The 27,400-nt window shown below is 37.1% G+C and overlaps 2 protein-coding genes, 1 long non-coding RNA gene and 2 other non-coding genes across 13 annotated transcripts in view, besides 4 other annotated features; 4 read left to right on the top strand and 1 right to left on the bottom strand.

Annotated features, from left to right (window-relative positions):
- Positions 1-777: 777 nt before the first annotated feature.
- On the bottom strand, positions 778-20,012 carry THAP9 (THAP domain containing 9). 7 transcript variants are annotated; one of them, NM_001317776.2, is made up of 6 exons: positions 19,865-20,012; positions 15,816-16,011; positions 14,821-14,886; positions 14,120-14,423; positions 12,812-12,962; positions 778-3,803 (listed from the first exon to the last, which is right to left on the bottom strand). In NM_001317776.2, exons 4-6 carry the CDS (start codon positions 14,265-14,267, stop codon positions 1,823-1,825), a joined length of 2,280 nt encoding a protein of 759 aa, NP_001304705.1. In that variant the 5' UTR covers positions 14,268-14,423; positions 14,821-14,886; positions 15,816-16,011; positions 19,865-20,012; the 3' UTR covers positions 778-1,822. The 7 variants fall into 7 exon arrangements, with proteins under 7 accessions (NP_001304705.1, XP_047272121.1, XP_047272122.1 ...); XM_047416165.1 differs by lacking the exon at positions 14,821-14,886 and having other exon boundaries at positions 17,383-20,012; XM_047416166.1 differs by lacking the exon at positions 14,821-14,886 and having other exon boundaries at positions 18,954-20,012.
- Positions 19,528-20,047: an enhancer, noted in NCBI's record as "H3K27ac hESC enhancer chr4:83821853-83822372 (GRCh37/hg19 assembly coordinates)". NCBI's record gives its function as "activates a minimal SCP1, AML or CMV promoter by ChIP-STARR-seq in naive H9 embryonic stem cells {active_cell/tissue: H9 hESC(naive)}" and the evidence as "EXISTENCE:reporter gene assay evidence [ECO:0000049][PMID:30033119]".
- Positions 19,653-20,002: a silencer, noted in NCBI's record as "silent region_15536". NCBI's record gives its function as "represses an Ori minimal core promoter by ATAC-STARR-seq in GM12878 lymphoblastoid cells {active_cell/tissue: GM12878}" and the evidence as "EXISTENCE:reporter gene assay evidence [ECO:0000049][PMID:35858748]".
- THAP9-AS1 (THAP9 antisense RNA 1) lies at positions 19,831-27,295 on the top strand. Of its 3 annotated transcripts, NR_034075.1 has the most exons (6): positions 19,831-20,413; positions 20,524-20,670; positions 21,010-21,034; positions 22,685-22,758; positions 24,973-25,055; positions 25,900-27,295. It is a non-coding gene; the product is annotated as a THAP9 antisense RNA 1 (long non-coding RNA). The 3 variants fall into 3 exon arrangements; NR_034076.1 differs by lacking the exon at positions 21,010-21,034; NR_034077.1 differs by lacking the exons at positions 21,010-21,034; positions 22,685-22,758.
- Positions 20,048-20,567: an enhancer, noted in NCBI's record as "H3K27ac hESC enhancer chr4:83821333-83821852 (GRCh37/hg19 assembly coordinates)". NCBI's record gives its function as "activates a minimal SCP1, AML or CMV promoter by ChIP-STARR-seq in naive H9 embryonic stem cells {active_cell/tissue: H9 hESC(naive)}" and the evidence as "EXISTENCE:reporter gene assay evidence [ECO:0000049][PMID:30033119]".
- Positions 20,178-27,400, top strand: part of SEC31A (SEC31 homolog A, COPII component) — an 82,061-nt gene continuing 74,838 nt past the window's right edge. Inside the window, exons 1-3 of the mRNA NM_001318120.2 lie at positions 20,178-20,413; positions 20,524-20,670; positions 21,010-21,034. The gene's annotated coding sequence lies outside the window, so the exon portion shown is untranslated. The remainder of the gene's footprint in view (positions 20,414-20,523; positions 20,671-21,009; positions 21,035-27,400) is intronic.
- Positions 20,313-20,432: an enhancer, noted in NCBI's record as "active region_21665". NCBI's record gives its function as "activates an Ori minimal core promoter by ATAC-STARR-seq in GM12878 lymphoblastoid cells {active_cell/tissue: GM12878}" and the evidence as "EXISTENCE:reporter gene assay evidence [ECO:0000049][PMID:35858748]".
- SNORD144 (small nucleolar RNA, C/D box 144) lies at positions 22,522-22,607 on the top strand. Its single transcript, NR_132760.2, has one exon. It is a non-coding gene; the product is annotated as a small nucleolar RNA, C/D box 144 (small nucleolar RNA).
- SNORD143 (small nucleolar RNA, C/D box 143) lies at positions 24,819-24,894 on the top strand. Its single transcript, NR_132759.2, has one exon. It is a non-coding gene; the product is annotated as a small nucleolar RNA, C/D box 143 (small nucleolar RNA).

Raw genomic sequence — 27,400 nt, 5'->3', positions numbered from 1 at the left:
ACCACCACCTAATCCAAACCTCAAAGATTAACTCTATATTTTCTAAAAGTTGTATAGCCTTACCTCTTCTATTTAGGTGTTTGCTTCATTTTGAGTGAATTTTTTTGCATGTGGATATCCATCTCTCCTAGCACTAGTTGTTGGAAAGCAGGATAAATTTTTAAAGGGAATGCTTTTCTCTGAAGAAAAAAATGGCCAAGATGCAAAGTAAAAATTATAACCAAACTGCCCTAAATCAAATATGAATGAATAATTTATTTCACTGTAAAGTGTATTGTATCTGGTATAAGACTCCAAGCCCTTTCACAAGTGCAGGAGCAATTAACTGGGCTAAATGTAGTGATGAGACTATTCTTATCTAAGAGAAATCTGTGACCTTCCAATTTTTGAATATTCACTGTCTCAATCGACCATCTCTTTCCAATTTACCTAGCACTTGAAAGAATAATGCACAACACTAAAATACAGACATTTGTATTTTAGTCAAATGTAACACCAAAGGGCATTAGATACTACACATATGAATCTTGCTTTACATAAAGATCAGGTACAGAGCTTGGATTTATATAAGCAATAAGTTAAAGTTGGTGATTTTCAAACAGGCTTCCTTTAAATAAGATTTATCCTGGTGTATTTAAATTCAATTCTATTTACAAACAACAAAAAGCACAATATTCAGACTTCTCAGCAATAAGTTTTGTATAAAATGAAGTATAAACTGGTTACACTTCAAAACTTAAGCCTCTGTTTGAGGTAGAATAAACAAACATCAAAATATACTTTGTAAGGGGAATTTTAATCAATATACTTTTACGTTATCATTAATCTTTTACAATTCTAAGTTTTCATATTAGGATTAACTGTACTTTGGGAACACTTATTCAGTGACAAAAAAGAGTAGATGTTTTACAACACAGGTGAATAATGTGCTTGTTTCTTCTATCCGTTAAACTATCCTCATTTGTGAAAGTAGAGTTACCTATGTTTTTCTGTCCCTCTTTTCAAATGTGGATGTGAGTGGAGAAAATTGTCCTTAGTATGCTTCCATCTTCAGATTAGGTTTCTCCCTGTTTTCCGATGAGCATTGAGCTCTTTCAAGTCAAACTAAGTGTCCAGCCTATTATTCAAAAGTAATATTTCAAAGTTCAGAGATAATGGATGGTGAAAAACACATTAGGTATGTTCTTTCCAGATTGCACTCCCCAGCGTGGCTGCAGCACAAGGAAGAATCTCATGGCTCATGTACTTTACCTTCTGCCTGACAAAGTTTAAGCACTTCTATTTTAGGGTATCCTGGGACAAGGGGATTTTTGCAGTATTTGATATTTGCTTGAGCCTAATTTTCAAACTATAATTTTCATATTTAAGTAAAAGTTATCTTCAAAGTTTTATAGGTATTGTCAATATTCTTAAGAATCATAAACCAAAGATCTTTCAGAAATGTAGTCTAGTCATAAATGGAGTCAATATTTTGATAACTCATAGTTGTTGTTTTTCTTGTTTTTGAAGCAGATTGAACAAGTTAAAACTGTGTCCAGTAACACTGCTTAGTCTTACAGTAGTAAATTCAAAGACAGTACCTGTTGGCTAGTTTGCTCCTACTGACCTACTGCTTTCTATATTTTGGAAAACTCATAAATGCTGCAAGCCATACCAAAAGTATAAGGAGATTTTGTGATATGCAGAATTTGAAATTTTAATAAGTCAGAATTGCAAACTTGTCCACTGTGCAGAATGCGCAATTTATAAAATATGGTAAATTGAACTTCAAAAAATGTTGATCAAGTATTCTTAATTAAAATGTTAATATATTTTAGGTCTCTCATTTGAATGGATATCCATCGTTACTTAGCAAATGCCTGAATTTACTACTGGTATTAGCAAAACTTGAACATTTATAATCCTGTACAGATGACCAGTGTTTCCTTGATAAAGTTTTCATATCAGTTCTCTCTGAATGATGTTTTAAAGGATTCTGTGCAACATTTTTAGCTCTGATATTTAAGAAACAGATTATTATATCCTTTAGCAACTTGACAAAGTGATTGATGGCACACACTTCTCCATCAAAGAGATGCTTATTCACATCTACAAAAAGATTAATATGCCCAGAAAGCTCACATAATATTTTCTGTTGAAGATACAATTCCCTTTGTTTAGAAACTAGTTCAAAAATTGCCATTCTTGAATGGGTTCTTACAACTCGCTCACAAATATTTATGACCCGACACAGACTTTCTGAAGGAAAATGCAAACCATTCTTCTTTTTAACAAATAATAGTGACCCAATTTTAGAGGCTTTGAGATCCGATGCATACAGTGCAGTGATGCAGTCCTCACAAGTTAAAAGAGCTGATAACTTGTTTGCAACATAACCAGCATAACAGATGAGATTTCGCCTATGATCTGACAGGTCTAGTAATGCCTCACTTAGTGAACAATGAGACCAGTCTTGACAAATACCCTCTTCGTGAAAGACAGTCTTTGTAACGCTGACACCATACTGACGTTGAACTGTCCAAAGCGCCAAGTCTTTCCTTCGAGCAATTGAAATGTCAAAGATGCTTACTTTGCTTAGAAAAACTTCATCTTGAAATTTGTATCTGGTCTCCAAATTATAGTAAGCTTTCTGGAATGCCATGCAGGTAGGGCTAGAACTTGTTACTAATACCTGCCTAAGCATCTTTAGAAATAATTCCAGATGATCATGACTGAATTTGTAAGTCAGAAGATAAGGAAAAGGCATGACCTTTGGGAAAACATAATTTTGGTAGAGCCATTTTAAGCTCTCAGCATTGAGCAAAAATCCCAGGAATCCTAGTTTTTGCTTACCTTTAATTATTTGATTATTGCTAGTGTCAGATAATGTAACAAAAATAGTCTTGGCTTCAATTAACACGTGGTTTATTTTACTGTAAGTTTCAGGCAACAGAGGCCCTTTAAGTCCCTTTCCATAACAGTTCCTACTATTAAAGATGTCAAACAGATTGTTAATTAAACGTAAAAAATGGATGGTACCAATACAGTTTTGAAAAGGTGGCAGGTCTAAGGATAACAAATATTCTAATGCACTGGCTACACTCTCACTAAAGAGTTGGGTGGCACTATTCACTTTCAGTACATGATTTTTCAAATTTGCAAGTGTACTTGGTATTCTTTCCATATTTGATAATTCCTGTTCCTCCAGTGCTACTAACTCCACGAGGTGCTGCCAATGTGCTATACCATTAATAAACTGAATGCTTTGAAAATTCTGAAATGCATTTCTTATTAATCTTAGCAAGTGGCAAGAGTCAAAGAAGTATGCAATCTGTTGACTAGAAGATGAAGGATGCTGAAATGTACATTTCATGTCGTCTCCATCAATATGTATCCCCAATGCTTTTGCCATCTGAACACTATGTGCTGTGGCATCAGATGTAACAGCCAGAACTGTGATTCCTATGTCACTCAGTTTACCAATAGTCAGACGAAGCAGCTGAGCCTGCAAATATCCAGATGCTCTGTTTACAAAAAAATAACCAAGAGGTGTTCTCCAATGGCCAAAAATACCCACTGCCATTAACAAAACAGTTTCTGAAGCAAGTGGCGTTTCATCAGCATCAAGTTTTCCAAGACCAAAGTCCATAAACCCCTGCAAACTGTGACTGCTAGGATCCCACTGAAGCTGTTGCTTGAGAGGCATACTTTTTATTAACAATGAACAGTATTGATAGAGCTGATCTCCATTCTCTACTCTTCGTTGAAGAAAAGAAAAAATGTTGCTGTTGAAACCTGGACTGGGTTGGCATTTGGATAACCACCTAGAATACATAAAAAGTGAAAGAACACTCAAAGAGAAATAAAAAGACAAATGGGAAAATGCCTTAAGCACTATTAAAGTAGTCTCCCATCCCTGTAGAAATAAAGCCAAGTATATAAGCAGCCAAATTCTATAGATATTTTCAATGGTAAATTCATCGTTACAATAAAATAGTAAGATAAACTTAGAAACACAAAGTAGTATTTTAAGATGCAAACATCCAACATTTTTAATTTCTCATTTATTCTTTAAAAAGTAAACCAACTAACCAGTTTGTTCTAACTGATCTTTTTATATTGTAAATCATAAACAAGTCTTACCTGTAAATTCACTGAAATGAGAAAACTGCTGAATGTGAAGGAATCTTTGAGAACATCTAGTACATCTACCTCATTTTACAGATTAGGAAACTGGGACAGAGGGAGAGGTTAAGCGACTTGGCCCATAATGTACTGTTAGTTATGAACGAATGTGAAACCTGGCTTTCCTGATGCCCAGGAGTTTAGTGCATTTCTCACTCTTTACAGCCTCAAAATTACACCCTTAAAGGCATATAACAAGTGTGCATCTGCACCCCTATACAACCTACCTGTGCTACTATCTTAGGAGTTCTTTCATAGTATCCCTGCTCTTCTCAGACTGCTAATTATTTTCTTCCTATAATGGTGTCTATCTTTGGAATTCTTCTTCCTTCTAGTTAACTCTTTCTAACTTGTTATAGATCAGGAAAGAAAACAGCCACATTTAATAACTGTCTAAAACTAAAGGGATTCTGAGGGAGAGACTAGGATGTTCACCTGTAACATATACTTTTGTAACTCAAATGTCTGTTAAGTTAAATTTCTGATTTTTTGGCTATATTCTAAGGCAACCAAGGCTTCTTCCTGGACAGCTGACCTCTACTTAATTGAGAGTTTAATGTTCTTCCCTAAGTATTTTGGGATAGGGCTTTCCAAATATTTTAGGTGCTACCTAGAAGTTTCATAAACAAAATTCACCCTTAGTACATACTACGAACTTACACATATATGACACACACACACAGAGTTGACTTCTGAACTAAATGGCATGGGTACACTTATACATGACTTTTTTTTCAACCAAATGCATGGAGAGAAAATACAGTATTTATAGGATGCAAAACTTGCATATACAGACAGCCAACTTTTCATACATACAGGTTCTGCAGGACTGTCTACAGGACTTGTATATACATGGATTTTGGTATACTGGCACAAGTTGGGGGTGTCCTAGAACCAATCCCCCACATATACCAAGGGATGACTGTAATAGTTTAAATAAATATAAATATATTTATATATACTTAAATGGCAATTATGACCCACTAATTTCATGATGCATTAATAGGTTTAAAAAACACACTTATGGGCCAGGCATGGTGGCTCATGCCTATAATCCCAGCACTTTGGGAGGCTGAGGTGGGCAAATCACCTGAGGTCAGGAGTTTGAGACCAGCCTGGCCAACATGGTGAAACCTCATCTCTACTAAAAATACAAAAATTAGCTGGGCATGGTGGCGCGCACCTGTAATCCCAGCCACTCAGGAGGCTGAGGCAGGAGAAGTGCTTGAACGTGGGAGGCAGAGGTTGCAGTGAGCCGAGATTGTGCCACTGCACTCCAGCCTGGGCGATGAGGCAAAACTGTCTCAAAACAAAACAAAACAAAACAAAACAAAACAAAACAATAACATACTTACAGGATGGCAAAAGACATACCTTGACTATAAGTAGGTTATAATCTATTTAGAAGACAAAAGTATCTGTTGTTTGTATATTAAAATAGGGCAAACCGGAAATAAGGCCACACACCTATGACAATCTGATCTTCGACAAAGCTGACAAAACCAAGCAAAAGGGAAGACTCCCTATTCAATAAATGGTGCTGGGGTAACTGGCTAGCCATATGCAGAAGACTGAAGCTGGACCCTTACACCACATACAAAAATTAACTCACGATGGATTAAAGACTTACATGTAAAACTCAAAACTATAAAAACCCTGGAAGGCAACCGAGGCAATACCATCCTGGACATAGGAACGGTAAAAGATTTCATGACAAAGACACCAAAGCAATCATAACAGAAGCAAAAATTGACAGGTGGGATCTAATTAAGGTAAAGAGCTTCTGCACAGCAAAAGAAAATGTCAACAGTAAACAGACATCCTACAGAATGGGAGAAAATATTTGCAAACTGTGCATCTGACAAAAGCCTAATATCCAGCATCTGTAAGAAACTTAAACAAATTTACAAGAGAAAATTGTTAAAAAGTGGGCAAAGGACATGAACAGACACTTTTCAAAAGACATACATGCCACCAACAAGCATATGAAAAAAAGCTCAACATCACCAATCGTTAAGAGAAATGCAAATCAAAACCGCAATGAGATACTATCCCACACCAGTCAGAATGACTATTATTAAAAAGTCAACAAATAATAGATGCTGGCAAAATTGCGGAGAAATGGGAAAACTTACTTATACACTGTTGGTGGGAGTGTAAATTAATTCAATTGTTGTGGAAAGTGATTCCTCAAAGGGCTAAAAGCGAACTATGATTTTATCCAGCAATCCCATTACTGGTTATATACCCAGAGGAATATAAATTATTCTACCATAAAGACACATGCATGCAAATTTTAACTGCAGCACTATTCACAATAGTCAAGACATGGAACACCCTAAATCTCCATCAATGACACACTGAATAAAGAAAATGCAGTACATACACACCATGGAATACTATGTAGCCATAAAAAAGAATGAGATCATGTCTTTTGCAGCAACATGGATAGAGCTGAAGGCTATTATCCTCAGCAAACTAACAGGAACAGAAAACCAAATACTGCATGTTCTCAATTATAAGTGGGAGCTAAATGATGAAAACCTGGCTGGGCACGGTGGCTGATGCCTGTAATCCCAGCACTTTGGGAGGCCGAGGGAGGCAGATGACCTGAGGTCAGGAGTTTGAGGCCAGCCTGGCCAATACGGTGAAACCCCATCTCTACTAAAAATACACAAATTAGCCAGGCTCAGTGGTGTGTGCCTATAATCCCAGCTACTCGGGAGGCTGAGGCAGGAGAATCACTTGAACCTGGGAGGTGAAGGTTGCAGTGAGCCAAGATTACACCACTACATTCTACACTCCAGTATGGGCAACAGAGCGAAACTCTGTCTCAAAAAATAAAAAAAAAAAGATGAGAACTTATACACAAGGAAGAAAACAACAGACACTGGGGTCTACTCGAGGGTGGAGGTTGGGATGAAATAATCTGTACAACAAACCCCCACGACAGGAGTTTACCTATGTAACAAACCTTCACATGTACCCCTGAACCTAAAATTACAAGATTTTTAAAAAAAGGAAAAAACAGTAAGACAATGACTCAACAGTATAGCAGTGCTACAGCACACTAGAATGTTGAAAGCTCTTTCCAAGTGTGTCATCCAATTTTAATTGTTTAAAAATTTTTTTTTACATTAGGATTCTCAAATGAGCACCAAGGATGCTAACTGTGTTGCATATGTGGTACATATATAACAAAGCACTTAATGTCCCTATGTAATTTTATTTTAAATGGGGTTAAAAAAACAACCAACTTATGTTCTGCTGAGTTTGATTTTTAAATGGAAATCTCAATGGTATCTGAATATCTACAGCTACTAGAACAATGTCATGAACATGAAGCAGAATGGTACGTGGATTTGTTGATTTATTTTTTAAAGTTTTTATAAGAAAGAGTAGGCATATCCAAACCAAGTTCATGAGTTAGAATGGTAAGGAAGGAGACAATTTCTCCTTTAAATCTCTTTTCGTCTCTGAAAATAAAAAAATTTTCTTATGATCATAAAAAAAGACACATTCTTTTTAAAAAAACAATACAAAAAGTATAAAGAAGTAAAAGTTACTGTTAATGTCTTTATGTATACATACCTAGATATAATTTTCAAAATTGTATACTGAATCTATTTTTCACTTAATGGTAATTAATGTTTCACATATTTTTACACGCCCTTAAGTATCAACCTACAGCAACATTTTAAATGTGTACACAGTATATATCACAGTATAGTTAAATGAAAACCAACTCAAATCGAAGGACATCTTGATAATTTCAAATTTTTAGATAACAGTACCACAATGTGTATATGCACGCATGTGCACCCTTACACATATACATATTTATGTCATTTTGTAATTCCTAGGAATAACATGCCAAGGTAAACTTACTTATATTTTATAAGAAATTAAAGACAAATTTAGGATTTCAGCTGCACATAATTGTGCAATTCATATTTACACAATTTACAATTCATATTCCCAAACTGTCCTTGCGAAAGTTCAAAGCAATTTTCATTTATACTCTCATCAACACGATATTTTAAATTAACAAACCAATATACAATAACTTAGTTATGGAATGATTATAGGGAGTCACTTGGGTGGCCTAAAATTCTGCCTGGGAAAAATATAGTCCTAGAGATCTACAGTGCTAAATGTTTTTCTGTTAAGACTTTTAGCTACTCCCACTGTTGTTACTTTTGATTCTCTCACAGCAGGTAACCTATAGAGGGAGTTGGTTTACTAAACTGCAGTGAATATAAACCAAAAATTAGAAACAGAGGAAATATAAATAAAGAGCAACTGTGCCAGCATTTTCTATCTATGACCAAGATCACACTAAATATATCACTATTATAACAAGGAAAGTTAAGGATATTAAGACTTAATTTCAAAGGATTTGTGAAAATAAATTACTTTAAAGACCCCAAACACTGAAAATTGTAAAAAACACAGCTTTGGGAAAGTTTTGGACATAAAGAATCCAGGGAGAACTGAAAAAGGATCCAACATCAGTAAAGAGAAAATTAGAGAAATATCTGATGTAGCTAAGACTAGAGAAAGATATAGACAATTAGAAATTCATGAGGCACCCTATCTAACCAAACCAAGGGTTTTAAAAAAATTTAAGTCTAGTTTGGTCTGTCATCGTCTAATTGTTAACCATCTAATTGTTTCTCCATCATTATGGAGGGAAAGACAACAGTTTTGACCACAAATCTGGTACTGCATTTTTCTAGTTACTTACTTTTCCTGGTAGGTGACTGGTCACATTTTCTCCTTTCTTCCCAAATCTAATGCCTTCCTCCTCAACTCTCAGTTAATAACTTTGAGAAAACAGAAGCAATGCAATAAAAACTCATTTTCCTGCTGAGTGTGGTGGTGCATGTCTGTAGTTCTAGCTACTCAGGGAGGCTGACTGGACGACTGCTTGAGCCCAGAAGTTCAAGGCCAATCTGGGCAACACAGTGAGACCCCATCTTTTTTTCTGAGACGGAATCTCGCTCTGTCACCCAGGCTGGAGTGCAGTGGTGCAATCTCGGCTCACTGCAAGCTCCGCCTCCTGGGTTTACACCATTCTCCTGCCTCAGCCTCCCGAGTAGCTGGGACTACAGGTGCCTGCCACCATGCCCGGCTAATTTTTTTTTATTTTTTTAGTAGAGATGGGGTTTCACCGTGTTAGCCAGGGTGGTCTCAATCTCCTGACCTCGTGGTCCGTCCTCCACAGCCTCCCCAAGTGCTGGGATTACAGGCATGAGTCACTGTGCCCAGCCGAGACCCCATCTTTTTAAAAGACAAAACTCATTTTCCTACTACCAAATCTGTTAACCTATTTTATCTGTACTTCTGGCCTTTCTTCCTGTTTCAATGGATGAACTGTCCCAATACCTTAAGGTCATACTTCCTTCCACAGTAGTGTTGGATGTCATCCTCCTGCAATTATCATTTCTCTTATACATCGCCAATTTTCTTTTCTCTCTTGGATCATTGCCATAAACATGCGAACACGCTGGGACATCTGCCATCTCAACAAACACCCTCCCCTCAATGCATGTTCCTTTCTACCTACAGACCCTTCTCTGCTCTACTTCATAGCAAAACTCCATGGAAGAGCCCACAATCATTTTCTCTGCTTCTTCACCTTTAGTCTCTCTTAATCCCACTCCAGCCAGGTTTACCTCTCCACCACTCTACTATAACTGCTTTTGTCATGGTCATCAATGACCTTCATCTTGCAAAATCCAATGGTCAATTCTCTGTCCTCATCTTACCTGATCTCCCAGCAGCATTTGACATAGTGGACTACTCCCTCCTTGAAATACTTTCTACACTTGGCTTCCAGGCCATCACAATCTCCTGGTTTTCCTCCTGCCTCACTGGCCGCTCCTGATCAATAAATATTTATTGAATAAATATTAAATATAATGATTATAAAGATCTAATACTTAAGATAACTGTGTTAAAAACATCACTTTTTATATGGGAAAATAAATGGAAACGTATATACCATTAATATAAGAATCTTATATTAATATAATATAATCTTACATTAATATAAGAAAATAAACGGAGGCTCTATATACCATTAATATAACAGAACACTAAAACAAAATTTTATTGGTAGGTAAATAGGTTTTTTTTTTTATTTAACTTGGAGGATATACACAAAACTGCTAACTGTAGTTATTTTGTGGGATTAGGGGAAGCGAAGTACTATGTTTTTCACTTTCTGGTATTTATGTACTTATATACTGTTTGAATGTTTTATAACAAACATATATTACTATCATACTAAACAATATACCTTACTTATAGGCAAAGTACCTAAAGAAATGAGCAACTGTTTAAGTACTGGAATTATAAATCTAAATATATAATGTTACAGCAAAGGTCACAAAATGCAAAATGACATGAAGAGAGAAAAGATAAATGTGCGCTGGAATTACCAGGAAGATTTAATCTAGGAGTTGACGCAGAACTATGGGAAATGAAGAAAACCATGAAAAAGAAAAGATAAGAAGTTACCTGAAATCTCTTATATAAACCATAGTGAAATACCATTAAGTAATGCTTTAAAACCAGTGAAGAGATTAAAAAGGTATATGCTTCTCAACACAAAGAAAAGATAAATGTTTGGATTTATAAATGATGGATATTTTAATTACCCTGATTTGATCATTACAAATTATATATATGCATCAAAATATCACATGTACCCCCAGAATATGTACAACCATCAGAAAACAAAAAACCAAAAAGGTATAGGAGGAGAAATTATCAACACAGTACCTATAAAACTCTCTTGCTTAGCAAAAAGTGAATATTTATAAATAAGTATAATATCTAGCTTGAATGGTAAAATCACATTATGAAAGAGTAAGCCTTATATACAAATGTTCATCAAAATATATGAAAAAACAATTATAACCCCAAAATGTAAACAATAGAAATGTCCAATAGCTGGAGAATGTCAGAGTTAAGTAGGGTAGGACTACCTGATATCATGCAGCTATTAAAACTTGTCTATAAAGAGTTCAAAATAACGTTACAGATAAAAGGCATACATAATAAAGTAATAAAAGGCTGGTTGGAAATTTATTTACAAAAGATCATAACTATGTAAACACTAATAAATCTAAGTGCACACACACACACACACAGGAAGGAAATACTCTAAATGTTAACAGTAATTATTTATATATAATGTATGGGAATAATAAATTTTTCCTCTTTAAATTTTTTTAGAAGAGCAGCCCTCTGAAGGTCAATTAGAAGAGCAGCCCACTCTGAAGGTCAATTATTTTTAAATCTTTTATTGGTAGTATTATTGTAATAGTGTGTATAGAGGAAAATCTATAATTTTTTATAAAGGAATCTGGGCTGGGCACAGTGGCTCATGTCTGTAATCCCAGCACTTTGGGAGGCCGAGGTGGGTGGATCACGAGATCAGGAGTTCGAGATTAGCCTGGCCAACACGGTGAAATCCCACCTCTACTAAAAATATAAAAATTAGCCGGGTATGGTGGTGGACACCTGTAATCCCAGCTACTTGGGAGGCTGAGGCAGGAGAATGGGTCGAACCTGGGAGGCGGAGGTTGCAGTGAGCCAAGATCTCGCACCACTGCACTGTAGCCTGAGCGACAGAGCAAGACCCCATCTCAAAAAAAAAAAGGAATCTGTAAAACTAGGCTGGGCATGGTGGCTCATGCCTGTAATCCCAGCACTTTGGGAGGCCAAGGCGGGTAGATCACTTGAGGCCAGGGGTTCGAGATCAGCCTGGCCAACAAAGCAAAATCCCGTCTCTACTAAAAATACAAAATAGTAGCTGGGTGTGGTGGCACATGCCTGTAATCCCAGCTACTCAGTAGGAGGCTGAGGCATGAGAATTGCTTGAACCTGGAAGGCAAGGTTGCAGTGAGCCGAGATTGTGCCGCTGTGCTGCATGCAGCCTGGGTGACAAAGCAAGACTCAGTCTCCAAAACAAAAAAAGGAATCTGTAAAACTAGTGGTAAAAACAGTAAAAATTAAGAATTCAGTATTAAATTTATAAGACATTACTAGAAAATCATTGTTATTTGCTGCACACTAAGAGAATTATATCTATCCATTTTAATCACAAATCCTAAAAAATTATTTATCAAAATCTGTTTCCTGGACAACCTAATTGGCATCAACTGCAGTGCTTATGAAAAACGCAGATTTTTTTGTGCTTTGCCTAAGACCAATGGCGATCAATCCAGAACTGTTCTAGATTTTCCAGGATCGTCAGATATTAAACTACTGAAGTATACTAGAAATTCCAATATTTCAGGATTCAAATTTTATCCACCCAGAGTGTCTGGGAGATGCAAAAAACTTGTCATACTATGTGTCTTCATTTTGTTGGTGAAAATATTGCTGTTGTGATAATTGGCAAATACTACCTAGAAGTTTTTGAAGAACAAAAATGGGCTAATAATGGGAGTCCATTTTTTCATTAGTCCATTTTTTCTTTTTTTAAATGGGAGTATGAGTACTAATAGCCTTAATAAGTAAAATGCAACAAAAGAATAATATGGTTTAACATCTAAAGAGTAATTAACATGCAATCAACAAGATGTCCTGACAAGAAAGTCACTTTTAAAAAATAAAAAAATAATTCACTTACGTTCTGAGGATGGAAGAATGAGGCAGCTTAAGAATCTTTCTTACATAATCATAGACTTTGCTACTGCACAAGTAGAGTGTACATGCAAATTGTTTCATTTCTGCGGAGTACTCATCTGTTTCTCTCCAATTATATAACTCCCACTTAAAATCTGTTAAAATAAATTTTTTTATTCTTTGTGATGAATAGTAAAATTTTCAGGTACAGATTATAGCATTTGGATATAAAATGCACTGGGCATCAGAATTCAAATACAAATATAGTTGCATTTTGATTAAGTCTATTCAGAGGTTAATATCCACTTAGGACCCCTTGACCAATTTATTCGGTTCATCTGGAATCATTTCACTAGAGGGAAGAAAAAATTTTCAACTTGAATTATGTTTTACTGTTCAGTGGCAGCCTGAGAGGAGAGATTTTTAGAGGAACTGAAAAGAAAATAAAATGAGGACATTTATTTTATTTTGTTCCCTGCTTACTATTTATCTGAGGGTGAAAATTAGATATGAAAAACATTTCTGGGGATAGGGTACTATTCAGACTGAACAGACCATCTTGCCTAATATCAAGAGAAAAAAAAAAAATTCTGTTCCTGGTGGGGATTCCTATTTATGACCTCTAGTCCCCTCTTGGAAAAACATAAAATATTCATCTCCTTTGGAGATAGCTACTCTTTTCTAAAAAGAGGACACATTTCTCTTTTCCTAGAATGTAAATCCAAATCTCTGCTGCTTTCATCAAAGAACAAGTTGGCAATTTTTATTTTGCCCTTCTTCAAAGATCTTAGTTCACTCTAAAGAGGACTAGGTAGCCTTTCCATGGGTTTATAGTCTACTCTATAGAATATTTTAGAAAAAAATGTGGAGATACACAATTTCCAAGCTCAAAGAAATTCTGCAAACTAGTACAACTCTACTGCAAAAAGACTTTGGTAAAATTATGTAGCAGTTAAAACTGTTTATAATGAATTTGCAGTAGCAAATGGGTAAGAGCTACTACAAAAAGTGATAAGTGCAGAACAGAAAATGGTATAAACCATATGGTTTCATCTCTGGGTAGTGGGATTAACATTATTTTAATTACTTAAATATTTCTTTGCTTTTCCTATAATAAATGTTACTTTTATAACTGGAAAACCATAAGATACAAAAGAATTTTGGTGATTAATTTTCATTCTTCTTAAGCTACTGAGACTTTCACTTCCCAACTGAAAGCATGTTTTCATAGGCAAGAACAAAATAAATACTTAATGGTACCTCAGAAAAATAGCTATTTTTGTAAATACTACAGGTTACTAGGGGGAAGTACCTGAAAATTGAGCTCGTAGCAGACACTCTGTTTCTTCAGAAAGTAGTTTCTCTTCTACAAGTGCATCAATTAATCGTAAACCCTTTCTCTTCTTGATCATCCTGTAGTTCTTTACGGAGATAAGTCTTTTTTTGGACACTTGTAACATTTGTTGCACCTCAGCCAGTTTCTCTGCACCTATCGTCAAAGGTGTCTTTAAACTATAGTTATGGTCCTCAGTAGCAACTTCTTGAGAATTGTCTGGAAGAGGTTGTTTTAGGATTTTTTGTCTTGCTTTACCTTTAAGATGTACACCTTGAGGAATCTATGACAGATATATAAAATTAAAGTTATTTTAGAAATAATCACATAGAAGAGTATCTGTAAAAATACCCTAAATACAAAGCACTAATCTGGTTGCTGTGGAGAGTTAGTTAGGAAAGAAAAGGTCATAATCTCTGAATGTTTTAATGTATAGTTTATAGGGTAATATAAACAGGCTTTTTTTTTTTGCACTACACAGAAATATTAATATGATGTTGAAAGTTTCTGAAATAAAGTAACTAGAGAAAGGTGGTAGTAAACTGGGATGGCTTCATGGAAGTGAGTTTTAAGCAGTTCTTAGAAGGTACAATAACATGGTTAATGAAGGTGACAGAGAAGTTATTTGTGCAAAAAAGAAGGCATAGTGGACAGTGCATGGCTTTGGAATTAAGACTGACCTGGGTTTGAATCTTAGCTCCCTCAATTAGCTGTCACATAAGCTCTACAATCCCTTGTGTCCTCATCTGTAAAATGTGGATAATAATACAGGATTCTTTTGAAGATACAATATAAGAATTTATGTAAATCTCCTAGTACAATGCCTGGACCATTGTAGCTCTCAACACATGGCAGCCATTATTGATTTTACACAAAAGTATGAAAGCAAGCAAATTTATCACATATATAGTAAGTATATATGGTTTGAAAAGATAATTCAGGACAGTTAAAAATGTACAAATCAGTTAATAGGAAGCTCTTGGGACTTGGTGAGTTTGAATTTGACACCAACTAAATACTTCCGAATAGGGGAATGAGATAAACCAATACTGGAAGAAGGAGACTGACGATTAAGAGGAAAGTAAGGCTAGTGTCAGAATAGAACAGTTAGGTGACTATCACAGACTGTGCAGAAAGTGAAAGCCCATGTGTCAGAGTTGTGGTTAAGGGGTAAAAGGATAAAATAAAAACAGTCATAGGAAACAGAAGAATATCATACCAATACTGGTGACTCACTCATAGAAAGTTTCATTATTTCCCACATACTTCCTGTATCAATGTTAATAATTAGGTATATTTTTGATCAAGATAAATAACATTATTAGGAGGAACCAAAAAACATAGATAATTTCAAAGTACTATGAAAGCTGTCTCATACTTAACAAAAGCCTGTATTCTAAGGCTATTTATATCTACCAGTTGATTTTTGCAATTGGTTAGTAACCTTTATATATATCTAGACAAATGATTTGCATTTATATAGTTTTTTAAAAGCTCCAGAACAAATGCTAATATATATAATTTTTTTTTTAAATTTTCAAAGCATTTAAAATCTATTACTGGATTTAAGACTTGGGTTTTTTTGTCTGCAAATTCTAGCTATAATGGGGGCTATCTTGATTTTTAAAGGCTCTGTAAATTTTCATTTTGTTGACTTACACCTACATTTAAATACCTTGTATAGAGAAACAGAAGGCACAGCTCCTTTTTTCAGCTTTCTTCTTATGCCATATGACTCAAAGTCACTTTCTTGAAAATGTTTGGAACACAGTATAGCACCTGGTCCTGGAATCCAAATCTTTTTGCTTCTGGGGTCCACACGATTAACAGCCCTGATCCATTTTGAGCGCTGTATGGTATCAGTTGGAAATCTATGACAATCACATTAAAGTTCCATTAACATGAAAACATTATAGTACTATTACAGTAGTATTTATTATATAAACCCATCTATTATTTTACTGCTTTATAGAAACATAAAGCCAAGTGAATTAAAAGTTTAATTTACTTAGTTCATTTTTCAAAGTTCTTTGATTTTTTTTAATCCAAAGGTTCAATATCTGATTTTTCTTTGTCAATCATAGAGGGGCAATTCCCATATTAAAAATCCTACTATATTTTGTCTTCACTTCCTACACTTAATAGAATTTGCTCAAATTTAAATGGTTAAAGAATATATGCATCTTTTCCTTTCCTGTAGTGATTTTAAACTATTTGGTACTCTTCCTTTTAAGAAGTGAAGCCTGGCTGGGTGCAGTGGCTCATGCCTGTAATCCCAGCACTTTGGGAGGCTGAGGCGGGAGGATCAGCAGTCAGGAGTTCAAGACCAGCCTGGACAACATGGTGAAACCCCGTCTCTACTAAACATATAAAAAATTAGCCGGACGTGGTGGCGGGTGCCTGTAATCCCAGCTACTGGGGAGGCTGAGGCAGGAGAATCTCTTGAATCCGGAGGTGGAGGCTGCAGTGAGCCGAGATCGCACCATTACACTCCAGCCTGGGCAACAAGAGTGAAACTCCGTAACAAAAAAAAAAAAAAAAAAAAAAAGGGGGAGCCTAATTCCCCTCCCCTTGAGTGAGTATGGGCTAGAGTTAGTGATTTGCTAAGGAATGGAAAAAGAACATGTGACAGTAAGTGACCACAGACTACGTCATAAAGGAACAAGCTTTCCTCCTTGCTCTCTGTAGAGAATGGTTTGCTCTGTGGTAAGGTATCTGGCATGTTATAAAGCAGTCCTGTGGAGAAAACTAGTTGGTGAGGAACTGAGGCCTCCAGTCAAAGGCCATGTTGAGTTAGTCTTTTTGAAAGCAGGTGACTTCAGCCTTCAGATGAGTGCAATCTTATGAGATACTGTAACATCGAGCTACACTCCTGAATTCCTGACCCTCAGAAATGTGTGAGATAAAAATGTTTATACTGAATTTTGAGGTAACTTGTTATGCAGCAGTAGAAAACAAGACAAGTATATTTACTATATTGTTTTTTCATGTTTAAAGGCACTACTTTTTCCTAGCCTTGATTATAAAAATTACCTTGCATTTATTTATTTTTCAATCCAAGCCAAATTATGTTTAGAAACTTGTCGGCCAGGCGTGGTGGCTCACGCCTGTAATCCCAACACTTTGGGAGGCCGAGGCGGGCGGATCACTTGAGGTCAGGAGTTCAAGACCAGCCTGGACAACATGGTGAAACCCTGTCTCTAATAAAAATACAAAAATTAGCCGGGCCTGGTGGCTCCCACCTGTAATCCCAGCTACTAGGGAGGCTGAGGCAGGAGAATCGCTTGAACCTGGGAGGCAAAGTTGCAGTGAGCCAAGATAGTGCCACTGCACTCCAGCCTGGGCGACAGCAAGATTTCATCTCAAAAAAGAAAAGAAAAAGAAACTTGTGAAATTAACACAATAAAAAGCACAAAACTACTCTTTCTGCCCCTTCTTCTTTGACGTTATCTTAGAGACAGACTTATAGGTAACTATGCTTTTTGTGTATTTTAATTTAGACTTTAAAACACATAGTTACTAGAACTGAGATTGGTATAAATTTTATTTCTCAGCTAAATGCTACAAAAATATAGCAGCATGGTAAAACATAATTCTGATATGCTCTCTAAATCACCTTGAGAAAGAACTCTGAATTGGAAAACCTGTATTTAAGCTTCAGTGACCTTCTACCAGCTATATGGTATTAGACACATCTCTCAATCTTAGAACTTCCTCACAGGGCTGTAGTAAGAGTGTATGAGGCTACAAATGTATTCAAAATCACTTTGTAAACTGTAAAGTACTATCCAAAGTTCGATCTTTCCTAAGAACAACTAATTCCATTTCTGGGATTATAATTTTATTGTTCTAAGAAGATGATGATACTTGATCAAGGGCAAATGAACAGGGAATTCTTTTTCCAATAAAGTTGGGGCAAATCTATCTTTTTTCACTGAGTTCTTTTCTAACTCATGGAACATATTTTGCAAGGGAGCTTTTCCACAGATTGGGTATAGTCTCTAAACGTGCAAGGAACCCTCAAAAGTTGGCTGGTCCAACAACTTCTATTACTAGCGTGGTCCTCTGATGCAAAGCTTCCCAACAGGTATGCCTAGTGAGTACAGCTGTTGATATTCTTAGTCCATGGGGTGGGCTGGGACACCTGAGTAGTTACTTGAAGGCAGCCCCAAACAGTGCTGTAGGTTTGCCCCAAAGTATTGAACAATTATTTCCTATGCGTAAAATGCTATGAAAAAGGCTGGGGCTGGGCAGGGTGGCTCATGCCTGTAATCCCAGCCAAGAAGTTGGAGACCAACCTGGGCAACACACTGAGACCTCATCTCTACCAAAAAAAAAAAAAAGCCGGGATGGTGGTCTGTGCCTGTAGTCCCATGAGGCTGAGGTGGGAGGATCACTTGAGCCTGGGAGATAGAGGCTGCGCTGAGCTGTGATAGTGCCACTGCTCTCCAGCCTGGGCGACAAAGTGAGACCCCGTCTCCAAAAAAAAAAAAAAAAAAAAGAAGGAAAATGTTGGGAAATATTGTAATCTAACTAGCATAACTAGTTTTGAGTTCTGGAAAAAATTAATTTGGTAATAATACCATTTTTAAAGCATTTACCTTGTGCGTTACATATGCTATAAAGTCTTACGTTTTAGTTTTACAAAATTCTACAAGGCAGGTTTTTATTCCTCTTACAGAAGAAGAAACCAAGACCCAGAGCCAAGTACAGACATCAGTAAATACTCAATTAAAATTGGAATTCATGTCTCCCTAGTTTAAAACTACCTCTATCACAAGAAAAATCCCAAATCAATTATGGTCTCACATACACAATGAGTTGGTTCACACTGCTAACAATTTAGGTGGAGGAATCAGCCCTATTTAAAAAATAGAAAACAAAAAAAAAAAAAAATCAATGAATTTTATACATAGCCTACCATACATACTCTAAACTCCTTAACCTGGCATTTACATTTTTAAAATGGTTTCTCAGGTACTTTTCCACTCCTCTATATTTGCACTTTCTATCCTTTACATTTTCCCATGCCATTCCTAACTACCCTCTTCCTACCCCCCCTTTCCAACCATAAAGTTCTTTTTGATCTTTCCATAAATCTGCTCCTTTTGTCTGTGAGGATCTATTTTACCCACTTTTCTACTTGCTAGTGTACCCTGAATACTGAATGACCTATACCAGTCTGAACCATGGATATGAGTTCAGATAAGACTGATCTGAAATTCTTCCCCACTGTCGAGCCAAATGAAACTTCCCTGCCATGATCAAATCCAGCCAGAATCGGACCGGCCTTGCACAGCTCGGCTAACAGCACTTAAGAACTTGCAATGTCAGGCAGTACAGGAGAAAACTGATCTGTACTCGTGCTCAGGAAGACGCCACACACACACTTCAACCGTTGTCCTAAACTGCCTTCCCTTTCGGCCTCCTCACTTCAAATAATAAGACCATCCAATTAATGGAGGACTCCTTTCGCGTAACTCTCCTTAAAGCGGTAGGCGGTGCGAGAACCGGCTATTCAGAGGTAAACACTGGGCGGGAAGAGAGAGAATCTCAATTCTCACAGTGCCCCAATTCCGCTCCCACGCCCCGACGCTGCGCACGTCACGTCGCGTCACACACGCGGCGCGACCCACAGTGCGGCCCGGCCCCGCCCCACGCCACGCCACGGCCCGCCGGGCCCCGCAGGGAGTTCGAAGGCTTCGAGGCTGCTCCCATACGCACTGGTGGAAGGAGAGGCCGCGCTCCCGGCTGAGCACGGTGTCACGGGTGCTGCAGCCCACTGCGGAGCAACTTCGGGTCATCTTCTTGTTACGTGGGGCCCCACCTTCGGGGTTCCCGCGACAGCATGAATCACGACCACTTTAGCTCCGCCCGTTGACTCTGCGGCTACGACCTTTATTTGTCACGAAAGGCGGGCTTTAGAGGCGCGGGACTTCCACACTTCCTCTCCGAAGGCCCTGCGCCGGTGCCGTAGCCAATGACAGGCCACGTTGTGTCCCAGCAGCCAATCGGAAGGGCCTGAGCCTGAAGACGTGCATTTGACCGCTCCTCCCTCCGCGTTGGAGGCGGAATAGTGGGTTTTGCTGCAACCGGTTTATTTTCCTTCTGTTTTCACCCATTCTGGCACAATCTGGCGCCATCGTCCTTCTTGTGAGGCCAAGCCTGAAAATGCGAAGCAGAGAGGCAGGACCAAAATTGAGGCGAATCCAGGAACCTGCCAATGGGTCTCCGGGTGCGGTCTCTGAAACTGGAGGATATCGGGAGGAAAGGGTATGGAAGAGGGATAAAACACGGTGCCTTAGGTGTGTTGAAGACAGAGTCGGGCCAAAAATATATGATTTACTGAGATGCGTGTCGTGTTCTTGCGCTTTATCTTGTAGCTCTCCGATGCGGAGATAATGGGGAAGCTCTTGGCATGGTTGGCTGTAGGTATGTGATACCGGAGGAGCAGGAGTCAAATAGGATACGCCGACTTTTAATTCAAGGAACCCTTTTCTGAAACACTTTGCCACAATGAAGGAAATAAGGTAAGGTTCTTGGGGCTCCTCAGTAGTAATAGGGGCAGGGGACAAGGGGCAATTAAGTGGTTTTGGTTGGGAATGAGGCATTATGAATAGCTTTCAGGAGATAGAGCTTAGAACAATGTCTTAGTTATAAGCTCTTATGTTTGAGGAAGAGATTTCAATTTGCTTAGAGAAGGAAACGGGCCAGTGGGTTTTTGTCTCTGAGAAGGAGATCCTTAGCATACAGAAAACAGAGAAGGGTTTGCAACTTTTCCGTTTCTTTGTATAGCACACAAAAATAATTCCAAATATCCAGGCCTAACAAGATTGCTTCTTTTTCCCCTTTGTGTTTACTTTGTCCAGATTACAGCCGAAGATACATATTAAGGTATTACTTATTCACACCAGTTTTCCATTATAATATGCTTGTATCTTCTCTGAATGGAATTAATAGCTTTTGGTTATGGTTCCTTAAAAGTCACATGGCCTAAGGATAGATGGTCAAGGAACTTTGGAAAAATTGGTCCCTGGGGGATGTGCAGGGCAAATACTTTTTGGCTGTAAGGTGTGTGCAGAGAGTAAGAACTGGATTTAAATACTGTAAGTTGGTTGGGCTGTTAGAGCCTTTTCCTGCTCAACCAATTAAGACCCGAGTGAGGCTGAATAAAAATAACATTGTTTTTAGCTATCTTTAAGGAAAAAATTAGTTGCCTTATATTTTTGTAACAGTTTTACTCAGATATAATTCTCATACCACACAACTAATTGGTTTAAAGTGTACAATTCAGTGGGTTTTAGTATATGCACAGAATTGTGGAACAGTCACAATCAATATTAGAACATTTTCATCACTCCAGAAAGAAACCTCATTCTTACTAGCAGCACCTCCAAATATTCCCCCACCCCGCTCAGCAAACACTAATTTAGTTTCCGTGTGCCTCTGCCTGCTCTGTACACTTCATGTAAGTGGAATTATGAACTAATATATGGTCTTTGTGACTGGCTTCTTTCACTTGGAATGTTTTCAGAGTTCATCCATCTTATAGCACGTATCAGTACTTTATTTTTTATTGCTGAATCGTACTCCATTTTATGGATGTAGCAGATTTTGTTTATCCGTTCAACAGTTGGTGGACATTTGGGTTTTCCAATTTTTTTTTTTACTATTATGAACATTTGTGTACAAGTTTTTGTGTGGACAAATGTTTTCATTTTCCTGATTACACACCTAAGAGTGGAATTGGTGAGTCATAAGATAACTGTGTTTAGCTTCTTGAGGAAGTGCCAGATTATTTTCCCTAGTGGCTGCACCATTTTACATTCCCACCAGCAGTGGATGAGGCTGCCAGTTTCTCCACATTTTTGTGCATGTGAAGTGGCTGTCTCATCGTGGTGTTTGCCTTTTCTTAAGGACTCAAAAGTTTGCAGATACAGGCATTCACTTGCCATTTTCTTAAGGTAGAGTTGAAAGTACTGCTGCCAGTTCATCATCTGAAATGAGGGCTGTTTTCTTTCCTGTTTAATTGGATTGCAACTATTTGCCTTTCCTAAAGATGAAATAGTGTGCTTCCTACATTATTCTGACAACATTCCTTTAATTGTTAATTTCAGATGAATTTCTGAAAACTGCTTTTATCAGAACAGATTTACTTAAATGAAGGCAATAGCCGCAAGGGGTCACTGCTCTAGATATTTACTTCTGCATAGGAAATAAGTAATCCTTTATAGATGGAATTTTTTTTTCTTAGTTGTATTTTTGTATCTTTACATTTGTTTATAACTTATCTATACTTTTTTTGTTGTTGTGATTATTTTACTGTTGACATGGAAGTTCTCAATCTGATCATTTGGTTATATCATTGCTTCTTCTAGTAACTTCATATCCAGTGATTAAACCTTTTCACTGCTGTTCACATAATGAACCGTTGTGATTATTGAATACTTAAATGAGGATATGTAAGCTGTATTAAAGATAGTGTTATTTGCAAAGGCATTGACTATTGCACAAAAAATTTTAAAAGAAAATATCTCTTTTCAGGAATTGTACTCTCAGAGATGTTGAGAAAAGATACATGGGTCTTGGAAGATAATTACTCAAAATATGCAGGGAAGGTAGTATATCTTTCTATTTTAAATGTATTAAGTATTCCTGGAACTATAGCAGTGAGTTGGAAATGGAGGATTGTCCAAGTAAAAAACATTTATTAAGGCTTTAATGAAATCTACCTATTTTATGGTATATAATCTCATTAATTGTCCACTTGGAAAGAATAATAACAGATATTTATTTATTGGCCAGTTACTATGGGCCACAAATTATGCTGAGCTTTTTTTAATTTCATTTCATTTTATTTTATTTTTTGAGATGGGGTCTCACTCTGTCACCCAGGCTGGAGTGCAGTGGCGCAATCTCAGCTTATTGCAACCTCTGTCTTCCAGGCCCAAGCAATCTTCCCACCTCAGCTTCCTAAGTAGCTGGGACCACATGCATGTACCACTACACCTGGCTAATTTTTTTTTGTATATTTGGTAGAGACAGGGTTTTACCATGTTGCCCAGGCTGCTAAGCTTTTTATATACAGTATATAGAAAGAGTTGGTTTTCTTAAACAATATTTATTTCTCATAATAACTCTATGAAAGCAGGTATAGACTTCTTGCTTTCTAGGGTTGGTATCTTGCTTGTTGAGGACCTACCCTTTTGTGTTGCCGAATTTTTCATTGTTTGAGTTCTGTCTTTTGTTTCAGAAAGCCATGGAGTTTTGAAATTATTGTTATATCATTATTTGTTACATAATTATTTCTACTTCTAGAATCTCATGCTAACTTGGAAGTGTCTTCTCAGCATCAAGCCTGATATGGAGGGGCAGCTACACCCTAATACGCTCCAAAACTAGTTATGCTTTGTTTTATACGTAATGCTTCTGTTATTAGACAAGTGGTTTCCAAATATCAGAAGCAGTGCTAGGACTTAAAGGAAAAGGGGGAGTGTTTTTTCTTCTAATAGAACTTTTGAGCAGTGATGAAAGGAAAACAAGAAGACTCAAAAGATTATAAATCTCAGGCACGAATTAGTGTTCTGCCAATTAGGAACATTCTGATTGCTTGACAAGGTCTATATTTTGCTGATGAGGAGTAGAAGCCTGTGGGAGGTGGGGGTGGAAGCAGCAGAAGGAAAAGAGTAGCAAGTATTTAGTAAAATGTATTCATCATAGTGGATAAAAATCAAGCTTTGGGGAAAAAGGTCAAACTCCTTCAATGATGCTGTACATCTGTACCTTTACTCCATCCTATAGCAAATATTTGTATAACTGCACAGAAGAAATTGGACAATATTCCTTGAAAAATTCTTAGAAAGTTCAACTTTCCAAGTTAGTATCACCCCAAGGAAAATTATATGAGTAGGAATACCTAATTTCTAGCCATACTCTAGTTCCAATTAGCTTCTCTAAGTAGCTGGAACTGCAGGCGTGTGCCACCACACCTGGCTAATTTTTTGTATTTTTGGTAGAGAAGGGGTTTTGCCGTGTTGCCCAGGCTGCTAAGATTTTTATATATAGTGTATAGAAAGAGTTGGTTTTCTTGGCCAGGCATGGTGGCTCGCACCTGTAATCCCAGCACTTTGAAAGGCTAAGGCAGGTGAATCACCTGAGCTCAGGAGTTCAAGACCAGCCTGGCCAACATGGCGAAACTCCGTCTCTACTAAAAATACAAAAATTAGCCGGGCATGGTGGCACGCACCTGTAACCCCAGCTACTTGGGAGGCCAAGGCAGGAGAACCACTTGAACCCAGGAGGTGGAGGTTGCAGTGGGCCAAGATTGGCCACTGCACTCCAGCCTGGGTGACAGAGCAAGACTCTGTCTCAAAAAAGAAAGAGTTGGTTCTGTTAAACAATATTTATTTCTCATAATAACCCTATGAAAGCAGATACAGACTTCTGGCTTTTTAGGATTGGTATTTCACTTGTTGAACACCTACCCTTGTGTCAGATGTATAGCAGGTTAACAAAGTCAATACAGTGATACACTTGACATAATCTTTGTTCTGAGTTTTTTTCCCAATTATAGTAAAATTGGAGGTCTTAACTGTTCTACATTAGATAAATATATGCATTTGTTTTAAAGAGCTAAGCAATGAGAATCTTACAACTAGAGCTGAAGTTCAAGAAATAAATGTCCAATGATTAAATTTTTTCCACTGCTGTTCACATCATGATTTGTTGTGATTAATGTATGTGGATGAGGACATAATAGAAAAAGAAAATGATGAGACTTGTATATATTGTGTTTCTGCACAATGAGTTCCTTTGAATGTTTTTCGTTTTAGGAATAAAATTGAAGGGTGTTTTTCTTAGAGAACATCATTTGTCATATTTATTTGATCAAGAAGTTGAAGATTTATATAATAAGGTATGGGACTTACACATTTATTTTGATAAAAGAACACAGAAAAGGTCAGGTATGAGCAGAAAATTGACATTTATTTCAGCCTAATGTGGATACTGTACTCTGAATTAAAAATTTCTTTTCCTTACTCTTCCAGCTTTTAAAGATAAGTATTATTTCAAAATAGTATTTTTTTAATTAATAGATTCAATTCAGGAAAGGCATTGGAGGGGGTGGAGCTTTTAACTTTGACAGTCTCACTCTGTTGCCCAGGCTGGAGTGCAGCGGCGCAATCTCTGCTCACTGCAATCTCTGCCTCCTGGGTTCAAATAGTTATTGTGGCCCAGCTTCCCAAGTGGCTGGGATTAGAGGCGCATGCCACCACACCCAGCTAATTTTTTTTATTAAGTAGAGACCATGTTTTGCCATGTTGGCCAGACTGGTCTCAAACTTCCAGCCACCAACCTCAGCCTCCCAAAGTGCTGGGATTATAGTCATAAGCCACCACACCTGGCTGTTGGTTATCTTTTCTTAGAAATAATGATATAATCTTTTCAGCACCTGATATTCTTAAAGATCCAGGGTTTACAAATGACTGTTAGATATGCCAAGGATGACTAGCCTATAACTTAAGGATCTGTTCAGGAACAGTAGAAAAGAAGGTGATAGGAAACTGGGAATCTTAAATCTAATACTAGTTCTGTCATGAATTAGGCTTGTTATTGTAGTTGTTTCTCAAATTTAAGAAAATATGAGGGGTCTTGAAAAAGTGCATGGAAAATGCATATCATGAAAAAACTATGCATGGATTTCAAAATTTTTGGACCAAAATAAACTCCTACTAACTTGTTATAACATGTCTGAACAGGATCTAGTTTGAAGCACTAAGAAGAATAAGACATCAGTTTGAAAAGAGGCTCTATCAGAACAACACGAATTCTGCTAAAATTGAAGCAAGAACAAACATCAAATATATGTTGACACTTGGGTGGAAGAATGGTGAACTAATTGATGCTTTATGAAAAGTTGATAGGGACAGTGCTCCAAAGAAATCAGTTTACAAATGGATAACTCGTTTTAAGAAGGCATAAGGTAATGTTGAAGAAGAAGCCCACAGTGGCAGATCATCCACATCAGTTTGTGAGAAAAAAGTTAGTTCATGGCGTAATTGAAGAAAACCAACAATTAACAGCAGAAACAACAGCCAACACCATAGACATCTCAGTTGGTTCACCTTACACAATTTTGACTGGAAAAGTTCAGCAAACTTTATACCTGATAGGTACCAAAACCATTGCACCCAGATCAGCTACAGACAAGAATAGAGCTTTCAATGGAAATTTTAAATAAGTGGGATCAGGATCTTGAAGCCTTTCATTGAAAAATTGTAACAGGAGATGAAACATGGCTTTACCAGCGCAATCCTGAAGACAAAACACAAAGCAGTGGTTACCAAGATAAGTAGTTCAGTTAAAGCACAAGAGGACTGGTTGAGAGCAAAGGTCATGGCAACAGCTTTTGAATGCTCAAGGCATTTTGCTTGTTGACTTTCTGTAGGGCCAAAGAATGGTAACGTGCTTATCATGGGAGTGTTTTGAGAAACTTAGCCAAAGCTTCAGCAGAAAAATCCCCGAGAAAGACCAGAGAGTTCTTCACCACAACAATGTTCCTGCTCATCCCTCTCATCAAACAAGGCCATTTTGCAAGAGTTTTGATGGGAAATCACTAGGCATCCACCCTACAGTCCTGGTTTGGCACCTTCTGACTTTTTGTTTCCTAATCTTAAAAAAATTTTTCAGGGCAGTACATTTTTCTCAAGTTAATGTATAAAGAAACTGCATTGATGTAGATAAATTCCCAGAACTCTCAGTTCTTTAGGGATGGACTAAATAGCTGGTATCATCACTTACAAAAGTGTCTTGAATGCTATAGAGCTAATGTTCAAAAATATAGTTTATATTTTTTATCTTTTAACCATTTTTCCACAAACTTTTTGAAGTCTCCTTGAATATGTACCATTTATAAAGGGGAAAAATTCTGTGACTACTCATGTTGACTTAATGCTGACTTAATTTTCTGTTTTGTAAATATATACAAACAAGTTGATACAAATTTTGTTTATAGCCCTTAAACAAATTTGTGAAATAAATGCATTCAGAAACAAACTAAAACAATGAAATGGATGCTACTGTTTTACTGAGGTGTAAGCATAGTACTGGCTGCTATGGAAAAAGTTACATAAACATTCATGTATCTTGTGATGATTGTTTTGTCTACAACTTCACTCTTTGCAGACATCAAGACTGTTGAAATGAGGGGAAGGGATCTGAATTCCCAAAAGAATGTCAAATGGGCATGGAGGCTCATGC

Source organism: Homo sapiens, chromosome 4 (assembly GCF_000001405.40).
Source record: "Homo sapiens chromosome 4, GRCh38.p14 Primary Assembly".
Taxonomy (NCBI): Eukaryota; Metazoa; Chordata; class Mammalia; order Primates; family Hominidae; genus Homo; species Homo sapiens.
This window is presented reverse-complemented; position numbering and strand designations above follow the sequence as displayed.